General features: G+C 52.9%; 1 protein-coding gene across 4 annotated transcripts in view, besides 4 other annotated features; it reads left to right on the top strand.

The window, feature by feature from the left end:
* Positions 1 to 19,197, top strand: part of CMIP (c-Maf inducing protein) — a 266,955-nt gene that overhangs the window by 32,015 nt on the left and 215,743 nt on the right. The window contains exon 2 of one of the 4 annotated variants that reach the window (XM_047434717.1): positions 1,922 to 18,672. The exons of 2 other annotated variants lie outside the window; for them this stretch is intronic. In XM_047434717.1, coding sequence (XP_047290673.1) covers positions 18,421 to 18,672 — 252 coding nt within the window. In that variant the 5' untranslated portion in view covers positions 1,922 to 18,420. Of the gene's footprint in view, positions 1 to 1,921; positions 18,673 to 19,197 lie in introns of those variants that run through there. One more of the 4 variants, NM_030629.3, reaches the window with a different exon arrangement.
* Positions 4,233 to 4,322: an enhancer, noted in NCBI's record as "active region_11183". NCBI's record gives its function as "activates an Ori minimal core promoter by ATAC-STARR-seq in GM12878 lymphoblastoid cells {active_cell/tissue: GM12878}" and the evidence as "EXISTENCE:reporter gene assay evidence [ECO:0000049][PMID:35858748]".
* Positions 4,353 to 4,422: an enhancer, noted in NCBI's record as "active region_11184". NCBI's record gives its function as "activates an Ori minimal core promoter by ATAC-STARR-seq in GM12878 lymphoblastoid cells {active_cell/tissue: GM12878}" and the evidence as "EXISTENCE:reporter gene assay evidence [ECO:0000049][PMID:35858748]".
* Positions 13,101 to 13,170: an enhancer, noted in NCBI's record as "active region_11185". NCBI's record gives its function as "activates an Ori minimal core promoter by ATAC-STARR-seq in GM12878 lymphoblastoid cells {active_cell/tissue: GM12878}" and the evidence as "EXISTENCE:reporter gene assay evidence [ECO:0000049][PMID:35858748]".
* Positions 16,622 to 17,355: an enhancer, noted in NCBI's record as "H3K27ac-H3K4me1 hESC enhancer chr16:81527049-81527782 (GRCh37/hg19 assembly coordinates)". NCBI's record gives its function as "activates a minimal SCP1, AML or CMV promoter by ChIP-STARR-seq in primed H9 embryonic stem cells {active_cell/tissue: H9 hESC(primed)}" and the evidence as "EXISTENCE:reporter gene assay evidence [ECO:0000049][PMID:30033119]".

Genomic DNA, 19,197 nt, shown 5'->3' on the forward strand with positions numbered 1-19,197 from the left:
TTTCTTCTCCCTCCCACCCCTTCTTTCCTTTTGTCCTTACTTCCCGACGTCAGCCAAGTTCAGCTTCTCAGGCTCCCTAAGGATCTTTAGGAGACGGTGAAGATGAATGAAAAGACCCCAGCCCCAGCGTGGAGGTCAGGGCTCCTGGGTTTCAGCCTCAACTTGGTGGACCTCTTTGGGCTTCATCTATAGTAGGACCATTTTTATCTCGTGGGGCTAATTCATGCCGCGTTGAGCTGAGCACCTGGGCATATGGTTGATGCTTGAAAAATGGCAGCTGGTTGTGTCTATCTTCTGATTTTGAAGATACACATCGGGCTTGGAAATGTCGGCCCTGAACTCTTTTTTTTTGAAATGGAATCTTGCTGTGTTGCCCAGGCTGGAGTGCAGTGGTGTGGTCTCGGCTCACTGCAACCTCAGCCTCCTGGGTTCAAGTAATTTCCTGTCCCAGCTTCCTGAGTAGCGGGGATTACAAGCTTACACCACCACACCCACGCCTGGCTAATTTTTATATTTTTAGTAGAGACAGGGTTTCACCATGTTGGCCAGGCTCGTCTCGAACTCCTGGCCTCAGTTGATCTGCCTGCCTTGGCCTCCCAAAGTGCTGGGATTACAGGCGTGAGCCACCGCACCTAGCCTGAATTCTTAAGGGGTAGATACAGGGCAGGGTATGGACTGTGCATCCAGGTCCCCTCCTTTCCCACTGAAGGCAATGGCTGCCCTCCCTGTGTGAAGGCGGCTGGACTGTCGTCATCAGCACTCAGAACTCCTTGCTCCTGCATGTAAGACTCCGGGATCATATAATATTTAAAAATGCAGCAGCTTAAACACAGCAGAAGCTTGTTTGTTTTCTCTCGTATAAAGGAAATCTAGGGTCTAAGTCGTGTGAGGGTTGCCGTGGCTGGCCTGTGGCTTTGAGGGCCTAGGGCCCCTCCATGTGGCTGCTCCTCCGTTCTTAGCACCATGGGCCAAGAGAGGCTCAAGTTCCTGCCATTTTGCCTGCCTTCCAGTTAGTGGGAAATGGGATCTTACCATTTCGTTTGCATTCCAGTTAGCAGAAAGTGGGAGTGGCAGGGGAGTGGAAAAGGACTTCTGCCCTGTTAAGGTGACTTCTGCTTTCACCTTACTGGCCAGACCATCATGTGGCATCCCCGGCTGCAAGAGCATCTGGGAAATGTAAGTGGGAGCCATGAATCCCACCCCACAGCAGGATTTTTATTATTGAGAAGGGAGAGGAGGCCAGAATAGGGTGTTGGCATGGGCCACGCTAGCCATCTCTGCCACTGCCCTTCCCCCCCACCCCAGAAAGTATCCCAGGGCCAGTCTCCACTTCACTCTTGGGAAGGCGAAGGCTGGTCAGGGAGACACATTGCGTGGGCATTCCCTCAAGCTTCCGGAACAGGCCATCCTTTGAAAGCCACTCACATGTAGCACAGTGGAAGGAAGCAAGGCTTTTACAGGGGCAGAGGGAGTGGTAAGGTATCAGCAAGCCGTAGAGTAGAACAGGGAGCCGACAGTTCTGCATGGCGCCAGCAGCTCCTGGGAAGGGGTTGTAGGGCCGAGATTTTGGCGTCCTGTATGGAGAGGAGCAGCCTGCCGGAGAAGATAGTGAGCTCCCTGAGAAAGCAGGTGTGCAAGCAAAGGTCAGATGGACATGTGTCAGTCAGGGAGGCCACCGAGTGCGTTCTAGATCCAGAAAGCACATTCATGGAATTCCATTGAGGAATTATGGAAGGGATCTCATGCAGGGATGGTGAATGCACAGACCATGTGTGGTCCCCTCCACCCTCCAGCCCTTGTTGGTCCTCCTGGTGCCCTGCAGAGCCGCAGCCACCCCAGAGCCTCCCGGTGGGAAGAAGTTGGCACCTGAGATAAACCCATTTGCTTTTCCCACTTGAATTCAGTTCTCTTGTTCCTATAGGTGTGGACGTTGAGGGCCAGCCTGGAAGCGCCATATCCAGAGGCACTCAGGGAGGGGAGCAGGAGACCCAGGGCTCTGGGATTCAGGTCCCTCTGTCACACCCTGCCCTTCTTCTGGGTCTTTCTTCCCCACCTCCCAGCCAGAAATTGCCTCCTGGAGCCAGCCCAGCCTCGTCTTGTTCATTGGAGCTCAGTTGGAGACCCGTCCTCACCCGAAGCAGGGTGAGAGGACAGCACCTGCCACCTTTAAGTCTGGGCTTTGCTGGACGCCTAGGAGAAGCCGGGTCCTCAGGCACTCGAGTGGGAAGTGAAAGTGTGCACCAGCTCTTTAGTTCTGCTATTGACCGGACAGGGTTTTTCCTGGGGGGAGGGGGAAGGAGCTGCTGTGTTTTCTTTGCTTAATCTGGCCTTGCCCCACAGAGAAAACACATGCGTAGCCTCCATCCTGTTTGTAAAGAGGGCGGTCAGCTACTCGAAGTTGCTCGCCTGGAAAAACTGGGAAGATGTCATCTCCTATGGTAAGGAGGTGGGGGCTACAGGTAGCTGAGGTGGGCAATGAATGTCTTGAGGGACTGTCAGCATGTGACCTTTTTTTAAATGGTGATAAAATACACGTAACATAAAATGGGCCATTTTAACCAGTTTTAAGTGTGCAGTTCATTGAGTACGTTCACATTGTTGCACAACCATCACCCCCATCCATCTCCAGAACTTTCTCATCTTCTCAAACTGAAACTGTCCCCATTAAATGTTAACTCCTAGTCCCCCTCCCCCAGCCCCTGGCAGCCACCATTCTCTCTTCATTTTCTATGACTTTGACTCCTTTAGGGACCACATATGAATGGGTTAATATAGGATTTGTCTTTTTCGTGTCTGGGTTATGATTATTATTATTTTGCTTTTTTTGTTGAGGTGAGATTTACATAACATAAAATCAACCATTTTAAAGTGAAGAATTCAGTGATATTTAGCCACTACCACCTCTGTCTAGTTCCAAAACATCGTCACCCCAGAAGGAAATCCTGTACCCGTTAACAGTCACTCCTCTTTCCCCCTACCCCCGGCTCTTGAAAACCAACATATGACTTTAAATTTGATTTGCATTTGCATATATTAGGCCCTCTACAAATGTATGCTGAATGAATGAAAGAAAATCCTGGCCAGCTGAGAAATAATGATGAAAGCTTGGATTTCTTGAGTGCCTACTTTGTGCCAGGTCCACATAAGCATGTGTGGTTCTCAGCCCTGGCCGCACAATGGGATCACCTGGGGATCTTCGTAACCCCCAAAACCCAGGCCCCACCCCAGAGACGCTGATGGCTTTGGTCTGGGGGAGGTCTGGGCCATAGCCTTTTCCGAGCGATTCTAACATGAGAGTGAGTGGTAGGCAGTATTTCCTTGGGTCATAGCAGTCCTTTGGGGTAGGTAATATTATCTCCATTTTGTGGATAGGGAAACAGGTTATAGAGGTCAGGTAACTTACCCAAGCTCTCTCAGCTTCAAATCTCCATCTGAGGCCAGGCGTGGTGGCTCACGCCTGTAATCCCAGCACTTTGGGAGGCCGAGGTGGGCAGATCACCTGAGGTCAGGAGTTTGAGACCAGCCTGGCTAGCGTGGTGAAACCCCATCTCTACTAAAAATATAAAAATTAGCCAGGCGTGGTGACACACACCTGTAATCCTAGCTACTCAGGAGGCTGAGGCATGAGAATCGCTTGAACCCGAGAGGCAGAGGCTGCAGTGAGCCAAGATCGTGCCACTGCACTTCAGCCTGGGCGACAGAGTGAGACTGTATCAAAAAATAATAATAAAATCTCCACCTGAGTCCAAAGCCCTGACCCATTCTGCTGCTCCAGCCTCCCTCTGTTGTTTTGCAGGTGATTTTGGAAGGGGCACCTGTTGCTACTTATGTGTTTGCTATGGGGTAAAATAATTAAAAACTATCTAATTGGGATTTATGGGGTGCCAGCTGTATGCCAGGCACTGATTCACGTTCTCTCATTTTACCTTTACAGCCACCTTGTGCAAGGGGACTGTTATGATGACATCAGTTTCCCCAACATTGTTGGGAAAGGACGGGGGTGGTTTGCCTCACTTATCATGGAGGGAGTCTCCCCTTGGCCCTCCTGGTGGGGACCTCAGCTGAAGCAGAGTGGGAAAGAAGCCTGTGTGTGATGTCAGGGTGGGGTCCAAAGTTGAGGCTGAATGCAGTGTTTTCACGGGATGGCTTTGACATCGGTGAGAGCTGCTCTGCCCAGTTTGAACTAGTGGTGGGCCATTGAATGGAGCTGGAGAAGCTGTGCACACCTCAGGGCTTTGGCCCGGCTGTCTCCCTCAGCTGCACATGGTTTGTCCCTCCTATTTGCGTTTGAGATTTTTGATGGCTGTGGGACTCATGATTTATTCAACAAATATTGTTGAGACCTGATAGCTGGGCGCCGTCTGGGGCTCTTAGGAATATGCGGTGATGAGACAGGCACAGTCTCCATTATCCTCATGGTCTGGCAGGTGGTACGGATTGTTGTGTCACCCTCATCTGGGTGTGCCGGGCCCTGTCTCTGCATGAGCTCCCTCATTCCAGCCTCATGGCAGGTGTACAGGTGAGGGCCTTGAGCGACTGTGTGTAACAGATGAGGACAGGGCCGCTCAGGAAGGCTGAGAAGCTTTCCCAACGTTACACAGCTTGTGAGAAGCGGAGACTGAAATTGAATGTGAGCTGATGGCTTCAGAGCTTGACTAAGTAACACTGACAGATAATTATGAAAGAGGAAGTCCAGGGAGCATCTGCGTGGGATGGGGCCATGCCAGGGCCAGAGCGGCTCCCAGAGGGTGCTGTTTCAACTGAGGTCTTGGGGGGATGGGTACACTAGTTTCCTGTGGCTGCTATGACAAATGACCACAGGCTTTGTGGCTTAAAGCAACACAAAGTTATTATCTTACAGTTCTGGAGGTCAGAAGTCCACAGTGAGTCTCGTAGGGGCTAAAGTTGAGGTGTTGTCTTTCTGGAAGCCTAAGGGAAGGGTCTGTTGCCTTTTCCATTATCTAGAGGCTGCTCGCATTCCTTCCCTCGTGGCAGCATCACTCCAACCTCTGCTTCAGTCTTCACATCTCCTCTGGCTCTGGCCCTCCCGCCTCCCTCTTTTTTTTTTTTTTTTGAGAGGGGGTCTCACTCTGTCACCCAGGCTGGAGTGCAGTGGCGCAATCTTGGCTCACTGCAACCTCTGCCTCCCGGGTTCAGGTGATTCTTGTGCCTCAGCCTCCTGAGTAGCTGGGATTATAGGTGTGCGCCACCACACCTAGCTAATTTTTGTATTTTTAGCAGAGACAGCGTTTCACCATGTTGGCCAGGGTGGTTTCGAACTACTGACCGCAAGTGATCCACCCTCCTTGGCCTCCCAAAGTGCTGGGATTATAGGCATGAGCTACCGGGCCTGTCCCTGCCGCCTCTTATAAGGACCCTGTGGTTACACTGGGCTCACCAGATCATTCAGGGGCACCTTCCGTCTCAAGATCCTCAGCTTAAGCAACTCTAAGGGTCCCTTTGCCATGTCAGGCCACATAGTCACAGGTTGAAGGGAGTAGGATGATTAGGGCCATTATTGTGCCTATCATAGCAGGGGAGAGTGAGGCTGGTGGGCAGGCAATCTAAGGCCTGGAGGTGAGTGGGTGCTTGGCTTTGGAGGGGTGCTGGGCGCCTAAGTACCTGGAGGAGGAGCTCCTGGAGGGGAGGGTGAGACAGCAGAGGGCCTTTTAAGTCATGGGGCAGACTGGGAGTTGGTCACCTGCTAAGTAGCTTCTGGAGAGAGGACCTCTGTTCCCACTTGAGCCTGGTGGACATGCGTGTCCCAGGAGGACGGTGTGTGTTGGGGAAGCCCCTGCCCCTCCCCCACCTAGGAGCTTCCCTTTCACAGTGACAGGAAGAGGGAGAGCTAGGAGCATAATGTGCTTTGGGCAGGAAATGCAGGCTGCATCTTCCCATTGCTGGAGAAGGTGACAAACCCGGGCTTCGGAGTCACTGGGGCTGGGTTTGAATCCAAACTCCACCACATCCTAAGCTGAGCCCGTTCCCAACTGTAAAATGGGGGTGAGATAGGGCCTGACTCACAGGGTCAGCCCTGGGGTCAGCGAGGCAGGTCATGGGACGCTGTTGGTGCACAGGCATGCCTGCTTGCTCGTCCGTTCAGCAGATGGCGGTGGCGCGTCCACTGTGCACCAGGCACCATTGCAGGCACGGAGCAAAGCAGGCATCATCCTGGCCTACTTGGAGCCCCCATTCTACTGGAGGAGAGGAAAATGAACACGGAAATATAGAATCTTGTCTGCTGCCACTAAGTGCTGTGGAGGAAACCATCAGACGAGGGAGGACAGAAGTATTGGTATGAATGGGGAGGGTGTGGCGTCTGTGTGTGGTGGCCTTTGGAATAGGGTGACCAAAGAAAATCTGGATGAGAGGTGACACTTGAGCAGGTTTGGAAAAGGTAAGGGAGGAAGCTGTGCATGTGCAAAGGCCATGGGGCAGCGGCTAAAGGAGGTAAAGGAGCCATCCACAGCATGTGCAAAGGCCCTGGGGCAGCAATTTACCTGGTTTTTTTTCTAGGAATGCAAGGAGGTAAATGTGGATGGAGCAGAATGTGCCTTGAGGAGGGTGGCAGGAGGTGAGCTCTGTGAGTCACTAGTGGGGTCAGATGGTGTAGGGCCTTGTAAGAACTTTGGCCGTTAACTCTGAGGGAGAGGAGAGAGCTGTGTCTGCTCTAATACATTCAGGAAAGTGGCAGCTCTGAAGACCGAAGTGCCTCCTGGCTTGCCTCTCTCCCTCCCGCAGCCTCTTCCTCTTCCTCTTCCTCTTCCTCTTCCTCTTCCTCTCCCTCTCCCTGACCCTCCCCCAGCTGCCCACTGTTTTGTGGGGATTGATTGGGCCCATTGAGGCCTGCTGCCTGGAGTAGCAGCCTTGCCCACAGTCCAGTCTGGGGACCTTTCTCGGCCATCCCCTCCTCCAGCTATCCTCAGTGTTGGTCACTTATGGCTTTTGCTATTTATATAGCACAGTGGTTTATAAACTCTGCTTCTAGAATTTCGCAACCCGTCCTGCAGCATGTTATCTGTCCAGGCAGATAGTGGCGATCTTTATCCAAATCAAAGGACTGAAATTAAGGGGATGGAATTGTCTGCATTTTATGTTTTCCACCCAACATATTTTGTCATAAACTGGGAACTTGTGTAAGGTGGCATCCAGTTTAGTTCAATCCTGTATGTAATCATTTCAAGCTTAATAAATTAGTTAATATTTGTTAAACACCTACTGTGTCTTGGGGTTTCTGCGAGATGTGAGATTCATTGGCGGACAAACCAGATAGCGTTTTTGCCAAGTCACCGAGATAGTTTCAGGTCCTTGGCCATCATCTTTTTCCACCAACTCCAGGTCAGCTCAGGGGCCCACCAGGTGGAAGTCGCCCTTCCCTGGCGGACCTCGCCCGTTCCCATTCCTTCTGGCAAAGTCAGATTTGGTGAAAAGGCCACAGCAGCTGGGTGGAGTTCCACTTGCCAGCTCGAGGAAGAGTTCTGGGAGGCACGGGAAGCCAAAACCGCCTGTGAAGGAGGCCTGGTGCAGCTCAGAAAGCCCTGGCTCTGGCCGAGGTTTGGGATGTGTGGCTGCCATGGCAACCCGTCTCCCCGACGAAGGGTAGACGGGTTGGGCGCCGAACGCAGGGTGTTGCAGGTTGGGCTCCATTTTGACTCTGGTGGAGAACGATCACCTGGCTGCAAAACCAACCTCCCCGCCCAGTACAAGCATCTCCTCTTCCCCCTTGGGCCACGAGGGTGGGGGACTTGAGGCAGGAGTGGGTTTTTGTAGTGGGGTCATTGGGTAATCATCTCCGGCTCTCTGCTGCAGTTGGTGCGCACAGACCCGGCTAGTTTAAGGCCATTGATGGGACTCCTGTAGACGCTAAGCGATGGAAACATTGTGCGCATCCAGTACTCGGCGTGCTCTGGATGGGGCTGGAAGATGCCAGGTGGGCTTCTGAAACGAGTGTGGGGTTCACTCTACCTTTGATCTTTGCCTGCCCGGGTGTCCTCATTCATTTAACTCTTGGCTTCCTTATTCCTCTGTCCTTATCCCCTTCCTAGGAGTGGGGTCTGCTCAGATATACCCTCTTCCCTGCCTCTTTCCCTCCCTCCCCTCCTGCCTTCCTCCTCCTACCCCTGAAAACCTCTTTTTTTTTCTGTCCAAGGCTTTCTTGGGCGAGTTTAGAGCAGCAGTTTCCAACTTGAGCTGCGCATTGGAATTACTTGAGGAGCTTAAAAAATGTCCTGATGCCTGACTCCACCCCCAGAGGTTGAGATTCATTTGCTGTGTATGGGGCTCAGACGTCTTATTTTTTATTCCGACATCATTTGCTTGAATAGCTGTGGAGTATTCTATTGCGTATGTATACCAGAATGTATTAAGCTACTTTCCTGTTGATGGACATTTAAGTTGTTCCTAAATTTTCCTAGTATAATATGTTCTCCATCCATCTCCTTGTGAGCTCATATCTGTCAAGAAATACTGCGAACGACTTTGAAATGGGTGGAGAAAGATTCCTGGGTGTGTTGTCTAGCTCACTCATCCGAGCTATTTCTACCTTTTGTTTTCTTTGAGCTATTTTACAACTCTAATTGTGGAAAGCTGATAATACTGCAAGTGGTTCTGGTTCATGAAAATGCAAACCAGCTGTGCCTGTGGACTGCTGGACGTCCCAGCTTGTAGACACTCCCCAGGTGATTCTACAGTGTGGCCTGGGTGGAGAATTCCCATTCGGAAGACTGGAGGTAATTTCTTACCACAGCCCTTCTGATGTCCCTCCCGACTCAGTGGGAACTGATGGCCTATTTATTTAGCTGTATGTTTACGCAGCCCGTGGAAATAACAGTAAGAGCTAACATTAACTGAGCACTTATAATATGCCAGATCCTTTTTTGAGAATTTTAGGTGTTATTTAGTTATGTGAGTACAATTTTTCATAGACAGGGAACAACCTGGTGAAATAGGTAGTCTTATTCCCAAATGCAGAAGGGGAAGCTGAGGCGAAAGAGCTTGCTGGAGGTGGTATTGCTAATGAATGATAGAGCTGGGGTGGCACCACGTGGCCTGCTTGGACCACCATACTGTAGAGGTGGGAGTACCCAGCTCTCCCCTGGATTCTGCCACTTCCCCGAATGAGTCACTCAGGCGCTGTGAGTGTGTCATGGGACCGATGATCCTAAGCTCCCAGACCTACTGCGGAGGGTTGAGGGGTTGGGCGTGAGAGCCTGGCACCCGGCCTGACAGGCAGAGAGGGGCTCCCAAAGGCCACACGCAAGGCCATCACTCTGTTCTTGGCGTGTTGGTTTGCACGTTCATTGCCTGCTGGCCAGAGCGAGCTGGTGTGTCAGACTCACATGAACGGGCTTAGGGGAAGAAAGGGAGGCTTTTCCATCACAGCCAGGCTTTCTCAGAGATATTCAGGTTCCCAAGAAGTGGCTGTGAGATCTGGAGTTGATGGACTTAATTCAGAGACAAACATGCGCACTCTGTGTTCAGGGCCTTGCATCTGTTTCGTCCATCCACTAGGCCTCAGAGCAGCCCTGGGAGGTAGATATGATCGCGCCCATTTGACAGATGTGGAAACCAAGGATCATCCATTTGTTCTTGGGTTTCTTTTCTAATTCACCTCATACGTCCTAGGCCCTGAGACGCAGTGGCAACTAGGAAATTGCACTTCGGGTCCTCGCTGGAGTTCATTCAGGAGGGGTGCCCAGGGCCGGGCCACTTTGCACTTGAGTGCACACAGTGACTCTCCAAGCAGACCGCCGAGTCCCTCCAGTCCCGCAGAGTTTCCGGGTGTCCTCAGCCACAGGAGGTGAGGCTGGAGTGGGCCGGCCCATTGCCCGGTCCCCAGAGAGAGCCAGACTCCCCAGGAACTAATTTCTTAAGAGACCTTGAAGGCTCTTAACTCCCTAAGCGAATCCAGCTGTGCCTGGTGGCCGGCACTGTTGCAGATGTCCTGGCCAAAGCCAGCTTGGTTTGGAAGCCCGGCCCCAACAGCCGCCAAGTCTGGAAATGAAGTAAATGAGTGAGTTGTTCTTGGCCATTTTCCCCTCATCTCAACCCAGCTCAAATCAAACTGGAGCTCTGACCTCAGGCATCGCACATTCCATACTCCCCGGCCTCCTGGGGTTCAAAGGCGCACGGCAGGCGATAACCGCACTGGGCGTTGAGCGCCGTGAGGGAAGCTTCTGGAGGGAGCGTGGGACTGGGGTGGGGGCAGCTGGCGCAGCTTCGTTTCTCTGGACACCAGGCCTCGGAGAAACAGAAGGGGACGCCTGCTGGGCTGTGCTTGGCCTCTGGTCATGGGGGGCCCTGAGAACCAGAACAGGCCCTGCAGGGGTGAGGCTTCTAGTGAACCGGGGGGGGTGTGGGGGCTACTTTGGGGTGCCCCCTCCCCACCCTCCCTTGCCTCCTGAGCCTCACTGCTCTACCTGGGAGCCCCAGCGTGACTTCTTGAGAAATGGTGGCCTCTGCTAAGCAAGGCTGTCCCGGGCGGTCACGGCGAGCTGGCACCTGGATTCCTGAGGTCCTGAGGAACCCGCTTCAAACCTGGGTGGTCAGGGCCGAGTGGGGCTCTGACTGCTCCACTCCCGAGGCCCCAGACCAAACCACACAGCCCTTGAGGGTGAATCACTTTGAAGTGAGGGGTTCTGAGCCTGTGGCCTGCCAAGCGGGCCGGCTTGGCGGGAATGGGCAGGCTGGGCAGCATGGCCCGCGTGGCTTCCAGGCAGCAACTCCTCTCCCAAGGCGAAGGAAGCCAGAGCCAGAGCGCAAGGCTCTGGGCTTTGTGGTCAGAGAGCGGCTGAGTTCAGATATCATTTCCTAGCTCTGTGACACTGGGCAAGTCACTTAACCACTCTGAGCCTCAGCTTGCTTTATGTGCAAACTGTGGCTTCCTTGCACCACTCTCACAGGGTCTGTGTGAGGATTAAAGGAAAAAACCCATGCAAAGTGTTTGGTTGGTGCCTGGCACGGAGTAAAGGCTCAAGAGCTGTGGTGCCAGAGAGCAGCTTCAGGGGGCTTAGCCCAGCAGCATCTCAGAGCAATCCCCTATCAACAAACAAAAAGGATGTTCCGGCTCTGCAAACACGGTTACTAGACGATCTTCGAATGCCTCTTCTTGCATGGAATGACTGCTCTCGGCTTCTGCTCTTTGCAACCTGGAGGTGCCATTGGGATGCCCTGGCAGCCTCGCATCTTACTTTAATTATTATTTTATTTTATTTTTATTTATTGTTGTTTTATTGTTTATTATTGTTGGCAAGACGCCGTTTGCATAGTAAACTGAGACTGCTGCATGACTTTTATTTTATTGGCTGCATGACCTTAGCATACTAAAGATGAGTACATTGTTATTATTGTTATGGTTCTGATTAGCTCCGTGACCGTAGCACACCGAAGCTGAGAGAGTGCGACCGTAGGGGGTTAAGGGCTCATATTCCAGAGCCAGTCTGCATGGGTTTTAAATTCCTCTTCCTCCACTTCCTCCACTTCCTAGTGGGTGACCTTGGGTCACCCGCTGAGAGTCCCTGTGCCTCAGTTTCCCTGTCTCTAAACTGGGCATAATAGTGTCTACCTCACTGGGTTGCAGGGAGGATTAAATGAGTAATACGTATGAAGTGCTTAGAACTGGGCCCGATGCACGGAGGGAGTGTGCTGTTAGCCATCATTGTAGTCATCCACTCATTCCACCTGCAGGTTTTGATTGTTGGCCTCCTCTGTGTCTGGTTCTCCCCGAAACAGTGGATATATGCGTCTCCTGGGACTGCTATAAGGGTGACATGCCTGTTCCTTCCCCCATCCCCTCTCTGTGTGCCCCTTCTCCTTGGTGGCACTCCTGGGCAGTCATCAGCTTCCTTGCTTTACCGCAGCACCAGGGAGGCTCCTGTGACTTTCAGGAGAGCCTTGGGAGGGCACAGAACCTCTGTACTCCTCTTCGGGAACTCTCCCCACAGCTCCTGGCTCTTCGCTGTTCTGCAGGCCCAGTGTGATCTGGAAGACGGGGAGAGAATAATCTCTGGCAGAGCGATGTAGTTGCCACTGTAGAATCAGATGTGAGCCACTGTCATTGATGCTGGACTTTGCTTCCTGTCTCTGGCAGGCACTGGAAGAGATGGCCTTTCAGACCTTCCTGTGAGTTTCATTCATGCTTCATTCTTTCATTCATTTTTTTTTTCATTCAGTCTCTTCCCATTCTTTCTGCTTTCATTCATTCTATTCGTTCATTCTTTTGTTATTCATTCATTTTTCAGTTTGATTGTCTGCTTTGTCCTGGCCATACTCTCAGGCACAGGAGATGCACCCATGAAGGCCCAGCTGGTCCAAGGCCTTGGGGAGCTCACATCCCTAGCTGGTGGCATGAGGAAAGGCGGGCAAGGAGGGGTACGATGTGCCCATACAGATGCTGATGGTGCACTCAGAGGCTGACTTGAGGGGTGAGGGAGGGCTTTCTGGAGGAGGTGACTTCTATGTGCACAGGAGAGGAGGAGCTGGAGTTGGTGGGTGAAGAGGGGAGGTAGTGCTTGTTCCCCACAGAGGGGGACTTTACTTGCAGAGGCTCCAGGCCCTGAGGAAAGGAGTACCACAATACACTGGTACTTTTTTCTCCTCGGTAGTCAGAGCGTATTATTCAGGTACATCACTTGGGTGCAGGGGCTTGGGTGAGAGACCAGCAGGAGAGGTCTCCTTTGTGAGTCCCTCTTTCCAAAAGTGCCGCTGTACCCGGAGGTCTGGAAGACTTTACAAGTGTGTGACTTTCAGAGTGCAGGAACCCAGCACACCCTGTCACCAAACAGACCCACGAGGCCACCATTCTCCCAGGACCCAGCTGTGGGATGGCCTTGGCTCCTGCTTCTGGTTTTATGGAGCCCCCCTCCCTTCTCTGTGAAACGGCACTGCCCAGGCTCGTTCAGGGAGGGGGAGAGAGCTGATGTGCGATGTGTGCGTAGTGCCCAGCGAAGGGCCCTTCACGCTGGGAGCTTTTGGCAAATGCCAACTCTGGCAGGAGGAGGCACAGGGGAAGGAGAGTCTCGGGAACTTCCCCAGCTCTCCAGTGCTAGGAATTTGACCTTTTCTAGGGGTTCAGAATCCAGTGATGTCCTGAAATCTGCAGTTTCTGCTGCAGAAAGACAGTTTTTTATGTGTTTCCGGCCACCGGGATTCTTGATATCTTCTCAGTACCAGCCTTTGGACTGGTGCTCTTTGGGTCCCTGGGGAGTGAGAGGGGAAGTGAGAGAGGGCAAGAGACCTGTGGACACGCCTGCACGCCTGTGCCAGAGGCCTGTAGTGTCCCAAGGAGCCTGACATCCCTCAGGGGCTGTAAGAGGTTAGGTGTAGCTAAAGGTTCCTGTTCCTCTCTGACAGAGTCATCACTACCAGTTAGTAGTTAATTCATTGGTTTTCTGTGCTCCTACTGTGTGCAAGGAATATAGCATCACAGTGAATGATGTTTCTGTTCTCGTGGTCAGGAGAGCCCAGTGCAGAGGCCTGATGCTATTGTAACAAACCAGCATACAAATGCTTAGCATGGATCGGGCGTGGTGGCTCATGCCTGTAATCCCAGCACTTTGAGAGGCCAAGTTGGGCAAATTGCTTGAGCTCAGGAGTTCGAGACCAGCCTGGCCAACATGGTGAAAGCCTGTCTCCACTAAAAATACAAAAATTAGCTGAGTGTGGCGGTGTGTGCCTGGAATCCCAGCTACTCGGGCGGCTGAGGCAGGAGAATTGCTTGAACCCGAGAGGTGGAGGTTGCAGTGAGCCGGGATTACGCCATCGCACTCTAGCCTGGGCGACAGAGGGAGACTGTCTCAAAAACGAAAAACCAAATGCCTAGCATGGCGGGGGAATAAGGGCCCTGAAGAAGACAAGACCCACACAGGGCAAAGGGAGCAGGTGTTTGTGGCGTGGCCAGTCCTCTACCAGGCTAACACTTGATGTGAAACTTTAAGGAGGGTGAAGGAGGGAGCCACCCTGGGGTGTCTGGGTAGAACATTCCAGACAAGGAGAGCAAATGCACAGGCCCCAAGGAGGACACGGAGGCATAGGGAGCACTTGAGATGGGGCAGGCATCGAACTGGGTGCAGAATACACACTTTCTCCTTTTATCTAGTGATCCTAAGAGTTTCCCCTGTGTAATGCCAGTTTTTCTCCTGGCTGTGTGGAGGCTCCAAGGGGTCCAGCCTGCACACAGTGGAGGGGTCGAGATTTGAACTGGTGACTGCTTGACTGCATAGCCTTGGCTCTCGTTGGGCTGCGCGGGCTGAGCTGAGAGACTGGGGTAGGGGTTTTGTGGTGGGTTCCTGTTCCTGACCCATGTGGGGTCTGGCCATTACCCTTGCAGGCATTATCCTCGTGAGGGCTCAGGAACGGTGTCACCCATCACAGGGCGACAGCTCCAGAGATGTCTAGGGGGCTGGAGTGCCGGTGTCTGGGGTTGGCCTTACAAGAGCCTGGTGAGGACAGGGCTGGGCCAGCCCTTGCCTTTTGAGTCCCGTCTCTGTCACCGCATGGCTGTGTGAGACTCTGGGCAAGTCACACCCTTTCTGAGTCCTCGTTTTCTTGGTAAAAACGGGGTTAGTAAAACTCCCTGCCCTGCTTCCTTACAGAGCTTTTGTGAGGCTCAGGGAAGATTATGTGTGGGAAAGCCCTCTGTGGGCTCCAAAGCCCTGGACACGAGAATTCTGATTTTCCTTTATTTAATTGCAAAAACAGTATCAGTGGAACATGGAAGATAATTTAAAAGAAGACGAAAAAAACCTCTTCATACAATTCACCCAAGTATGGAAATCCTACCCTACCCAAGTATACACCAGCTGAATGGGTTTGGATGTATTTTCAGATAAATTCCTCACTTGGCGAACTCTTGCCGCTTGACGTCCCCAACTCCACAATCACGTGGATCTGGATCATTTGGCACCCTTCCCTGTCTGAACTCGGGAGCTGGATGGATTTGGCTACTGAGGATTGCTTGTATCGATTTTCCACTTATTCCTCTTGGTCTTGGCCCATCTGTACACATACTTTTATGTCATTACAGGCACAGTGAACATGCTGGTTTCTTTCCATTTTCTCCTCTACCGTCATCAGCGGAGATGACGTTTTACCTAGTCTTCGCCGTGATGGAAGCTTTTTAGTGGCCACGTGGTCATCTTTTGTGTCACACCATTTTTCATGAAACCATCTCCCTTTGGTTAGATACTAAGGCCGTTTCCTGCTTTTCTTCCTCAATAGAGTGTGCCACAGTGAATATCTGCGTGCCTGTAGCGTTTTTATCCTTTCCTTTTGATGATGAAAGATCATTTGGAAAAATTCCCAGGAGGGAGATTAGTCGGCCACAGGGGTATGAACATTTTGATGGCTTTGGATATCGATGAGGCTCTCTTGCTTTCCCGCAGAGTGGAGCCCATCTGTAATGCCATCCACAGGGTGCAAGCGTCCTTATTTTAACACTGCCATGTCCTCTCCGGGTGTCATTGTTTTTCATTTTTTTCTTAAATTAACTTCACGTGTTGAAAATGGTGCAGTGTTCAGTGTTATTAGTCAACAGCTGGCTTTGAGACACATGCCTGAGTGCCTTCAGCTCCTGGCTGAGTCCTCTGTCCCTCTGTCCGTGGCCACTCAGCCATGAGCACTTCTGTTAGCGATGAAGATGAAAAAGTGTCCCTTCTGCCCAGGCTCTCCCTTCCTCCTCTGGCTGCAGAGCAGGGAGGGGTTTCAGTGGCATCGCGGTGGCCGGGAGCGAGTGTGCTGGCCGGCTGGGCCTTGCTAGCAGGGCCGGGCCTTGCTGGCCAGGCCAGGCTATGCAGGCCCTCGAGAGGGCCTGGGGACAAAGGCGCCTTGGGAGGAGGAGGCAAAACAGGGGAGGGAAGGGAGGGCCCTGGAGAAAAAGGGGGGAAGAGAAACAAAGACAAAGGCTGGCAAAAATAGACCACGGAAACGGCAGGCAGCCGGGATAAGGAGGACAAGAGGCAGGATGTGGAAGAGGAGGGGAGGCGGAAGTTGTCGTGGGGGGTCGGGGAGAAATGGGGAGTAAAGGGAGAGTGGGTTACGGGGAGCTGTGTGGGGTGGGGGTACGTGGGAGAGAGAGACCCAGAAAGACAGACACACAGAGAGAAGGGAGCGGCCGAAGAGGAGGGCCCGTGAGCGAGAAGATGCAGATGCCCCTTTAGTAGGAGGGCATTGCTCCCTGCGCCCCTGGAAGGGACTCTGGGCTGGAAAGGACCAGAATGCAGGGAGGAGCCGCTGGCGGGGGTCACTGGAAGCTTGATTCGGGGGAAGCTGTAGGTTGGAGCTGGGAGACCCGAGTTCCTGCCCCTCCAGGGTCTTGTACGTCCTCACAGAGGACCTAGGGCCTTGATCCTGGTCCCGGCACACAGACACTTCAGGGGTGATGGAGCCACCACACCGAATTCTCCTCTAGGGCCCTCCCCCAGCATCAGAGTGCAGTCTGAGGGCAGCAGTGGGAGCTGGACTGGGGCCATCTGTGCAAGGGGTTATTGTGCCCAGGTGCACAGGCCGGAGCTCTGGGGTCACTCACCCTCCGCGTTACCTGTCGTTACCTGTCGTTACCTGTCGTTACCTGTTGTCTGGACCATAAAATGCAGATGGGAATGTCGCCCACTTCCTCAAGTCTTTGTGAGGATTAAACGAAGTACGAAATATAAAGCACTTGGAGTGGGGCACATAGTGTGTACCGTGTGACTCAAGGGGCTGTCCTCTTTATGGTGACGATGACAAGGGCATCAGGACAGCAGCCAGCATGGCGCAAGCCACCCGGGCCCAGCCTTGTTGAATCTTCCGGCAGTGTGGCGAGTTAGGTCTGCTCGTTCCCACTCTCCGCATGGGAAAACTGAGCTTCACAGTTAATATAAACACCAACAGTAATAACAATGGCAGCAACAAACTGCCGAATATGAGGGCCTAACATACACGAAGCAACACGCACGTCGCAGAACCCACAGCTGAGGAGACCAGAGCTCAAAGGGGCGAGTCACCTGCTGGCTCACACAGCAGCCGGGACCGGGATTGCAGGTGACCCACGTGGCTTCAGGGCCCAGGCCTGCCCTGTGACTCACGCGGCCTGTCACCCGCCGTTTCATGTTTCAGGCCTCGCCTGTACACTGGTGCTTCTCAGGAAGTCTTAGGGAAGATGACTTATTTATTAGCCGTTTTTTTAAAATCTCTTAATTAAAAAAACAACCAGTGTGAGTATGTGGAAATGTGATTCACCATGTGATCGGGGAGGTCAGAGCCAGAGTCCCTGGCTCAAAGGTAACACCCCTGTCCACCTGGATGAAGAATGTTCCAGAAGCTTCCCTCCAGGCACGGTCCTTGCCTGCTGAGCAGTCACCGGGGGAATCGGGGGCAGTTACCGGGGCCTCAGACTGTGGGAGCTGCCTCTTCCTGGGTCTCCAGCCGTGATTTCAGACTCGTCTTTCATCCTTCCCCTCTCGGTTGCCAGCCCAGTGCTGGAGGGACGCAGGGCAGAGCCCAGCCAGCTGCAGGTGTTTCCAGGCATGTGCTGGGAATGGAGCAGATGCGGGGCTGAAGCTTTCCCCAGAACTGGCCTTTATTGACGCAGAGGGTGGGAAAGAAGGCACGTGGCTGTGCTGGGAGAGGGTGGGTCTCCCTATAGCCTGGACCTGGGAAGGGCCTTCTCTAGAGCTCTCCAGGGACGGCCAGACAGCTCCCCTTCCACCTTGGGGTGTAAGCGGAACAGGACACACTCCCCTCAGGAAGCACGGTATCAAAGAGGGTCAGGAGGAGCCCCAGCCGGCTCCCGTTCTGAGGAGGCACCTGTGGGCATGGGGGACCCCCGGGGCCGCCCCCCGATGCCTCCGCTGATGCTTAAGGTCACACAGCAGGACATGGTAGCTGGGTTCAAACTCAGGTCAGGCCAACTGCAAAGCCTGTGCTCTTTCGACTCCTGGATGGACACTGCCCAGGTGCCCCTGGGTAACTGATACCCTTGTCCCCAAACAACTCTGAATCTCTTTTCATCATGAATATTATTAATAACAATAAATACTAATAACTGCCATTTATCAAGAGCCCCTACTTGCCAGGTGCTTTCTCATTCAGCCTGCCAAGGAAGCCCGTGAGTTGGGCACCAGTATCGCACTTTACAGATGAAGTCATTGAGGTACAGAGCAGCTATGTAACTAGCCATGGATCATAGAGCTAGTGTCGGAGATGGCACCCACACACAATTCTGATGACAAAACCTTACACTTGGGGACTGTAAGGCTTTGGGCACATTAGGTGACCTCTCTGAGCTTCAGTTTTGTCTTCTGTAAAATGGACCTCATATGCTGTCCGTGGCATAGGTTTGCATATGTGAATTAATGACTGTGGAGTACCTGGCACTCAGTGTTAGCTCTCACCATCATCATCATCATTACTGTAGCATAGGGTTTCTCAGTGAAACAGACACTGATGGTCAGAGTGGACCTCTCAGCCTGGGGGAAGCAGAGGATGAACCCTCTGGGGCGGGGCCCTGGGCAGGCTGGTTCAGTGATAAGCAGGAGCCAGGCGACCCACAGGCTTCTTGGATGGGCTGGGCGTGCATGGCATAACCGTTTGAGAACAACAAACCAAGCCGGCCGGGCTGCCGCTCTGTTTCCTGCGAGGAGGGAAGTTACAGATCTCCGCCCTGGCGTCCGGGGAAGGATGGGACAGGCTGCTGAGGTACAGTCCCATGTGGGGAACGACTCTGTCCAGCTTGATGTCTGTGCCTAAAACCTCGCCTGCTGCTGCTGGCCACAGGCCAGTGAAATTCACAGACCCACTTCTCAGAGGGTGGGCAGGTGTGTCTGCTAATCTGAGAGACCCCAGGCCCCTTCTCTTTTTATGTTTGTGGGAGGAATGGCTGAGACCCCAAAGCTGTGGGCTGCTGCTCTTTGGAGGACTTGAGACATTGTGAGAGCTGTCACCTCCTCCTGGAAGCCCCTGCCTGCTGTGGTCAGCCATGGCCACTCACTCTCCTGGGGCATCTGCTGGCCTCCCTTAGTGACTTGGCTGTTGGCTGTCATTTTCTTTCCACCTCATTCCCCCAACTAGACAGGAAGCTGTCAGTCCTCAGCCTCCTTATCTGTAAAATGCAGTTTGCGAGATAATCCCCAGCTCCCCCAGCTCCCCCAGCTCCGAGACTTGCAGGAGCAGAGAAAGAGGCCATGAAGCTGGCAGGGGCGCAAAGGAAGCAGGGCGTTGTTC

This window comes from Homo sapiens, chromosome 16 (assembly GCF_000001405.40).
Source record: "Homo sapiens chromosome 16, GRCh38.p14 Primary Assembly".
NCBI lineage: Eukaryota > Metazoa > Chordata > Mammalia > Primates > Hominidae > Homo > Homo sapiens.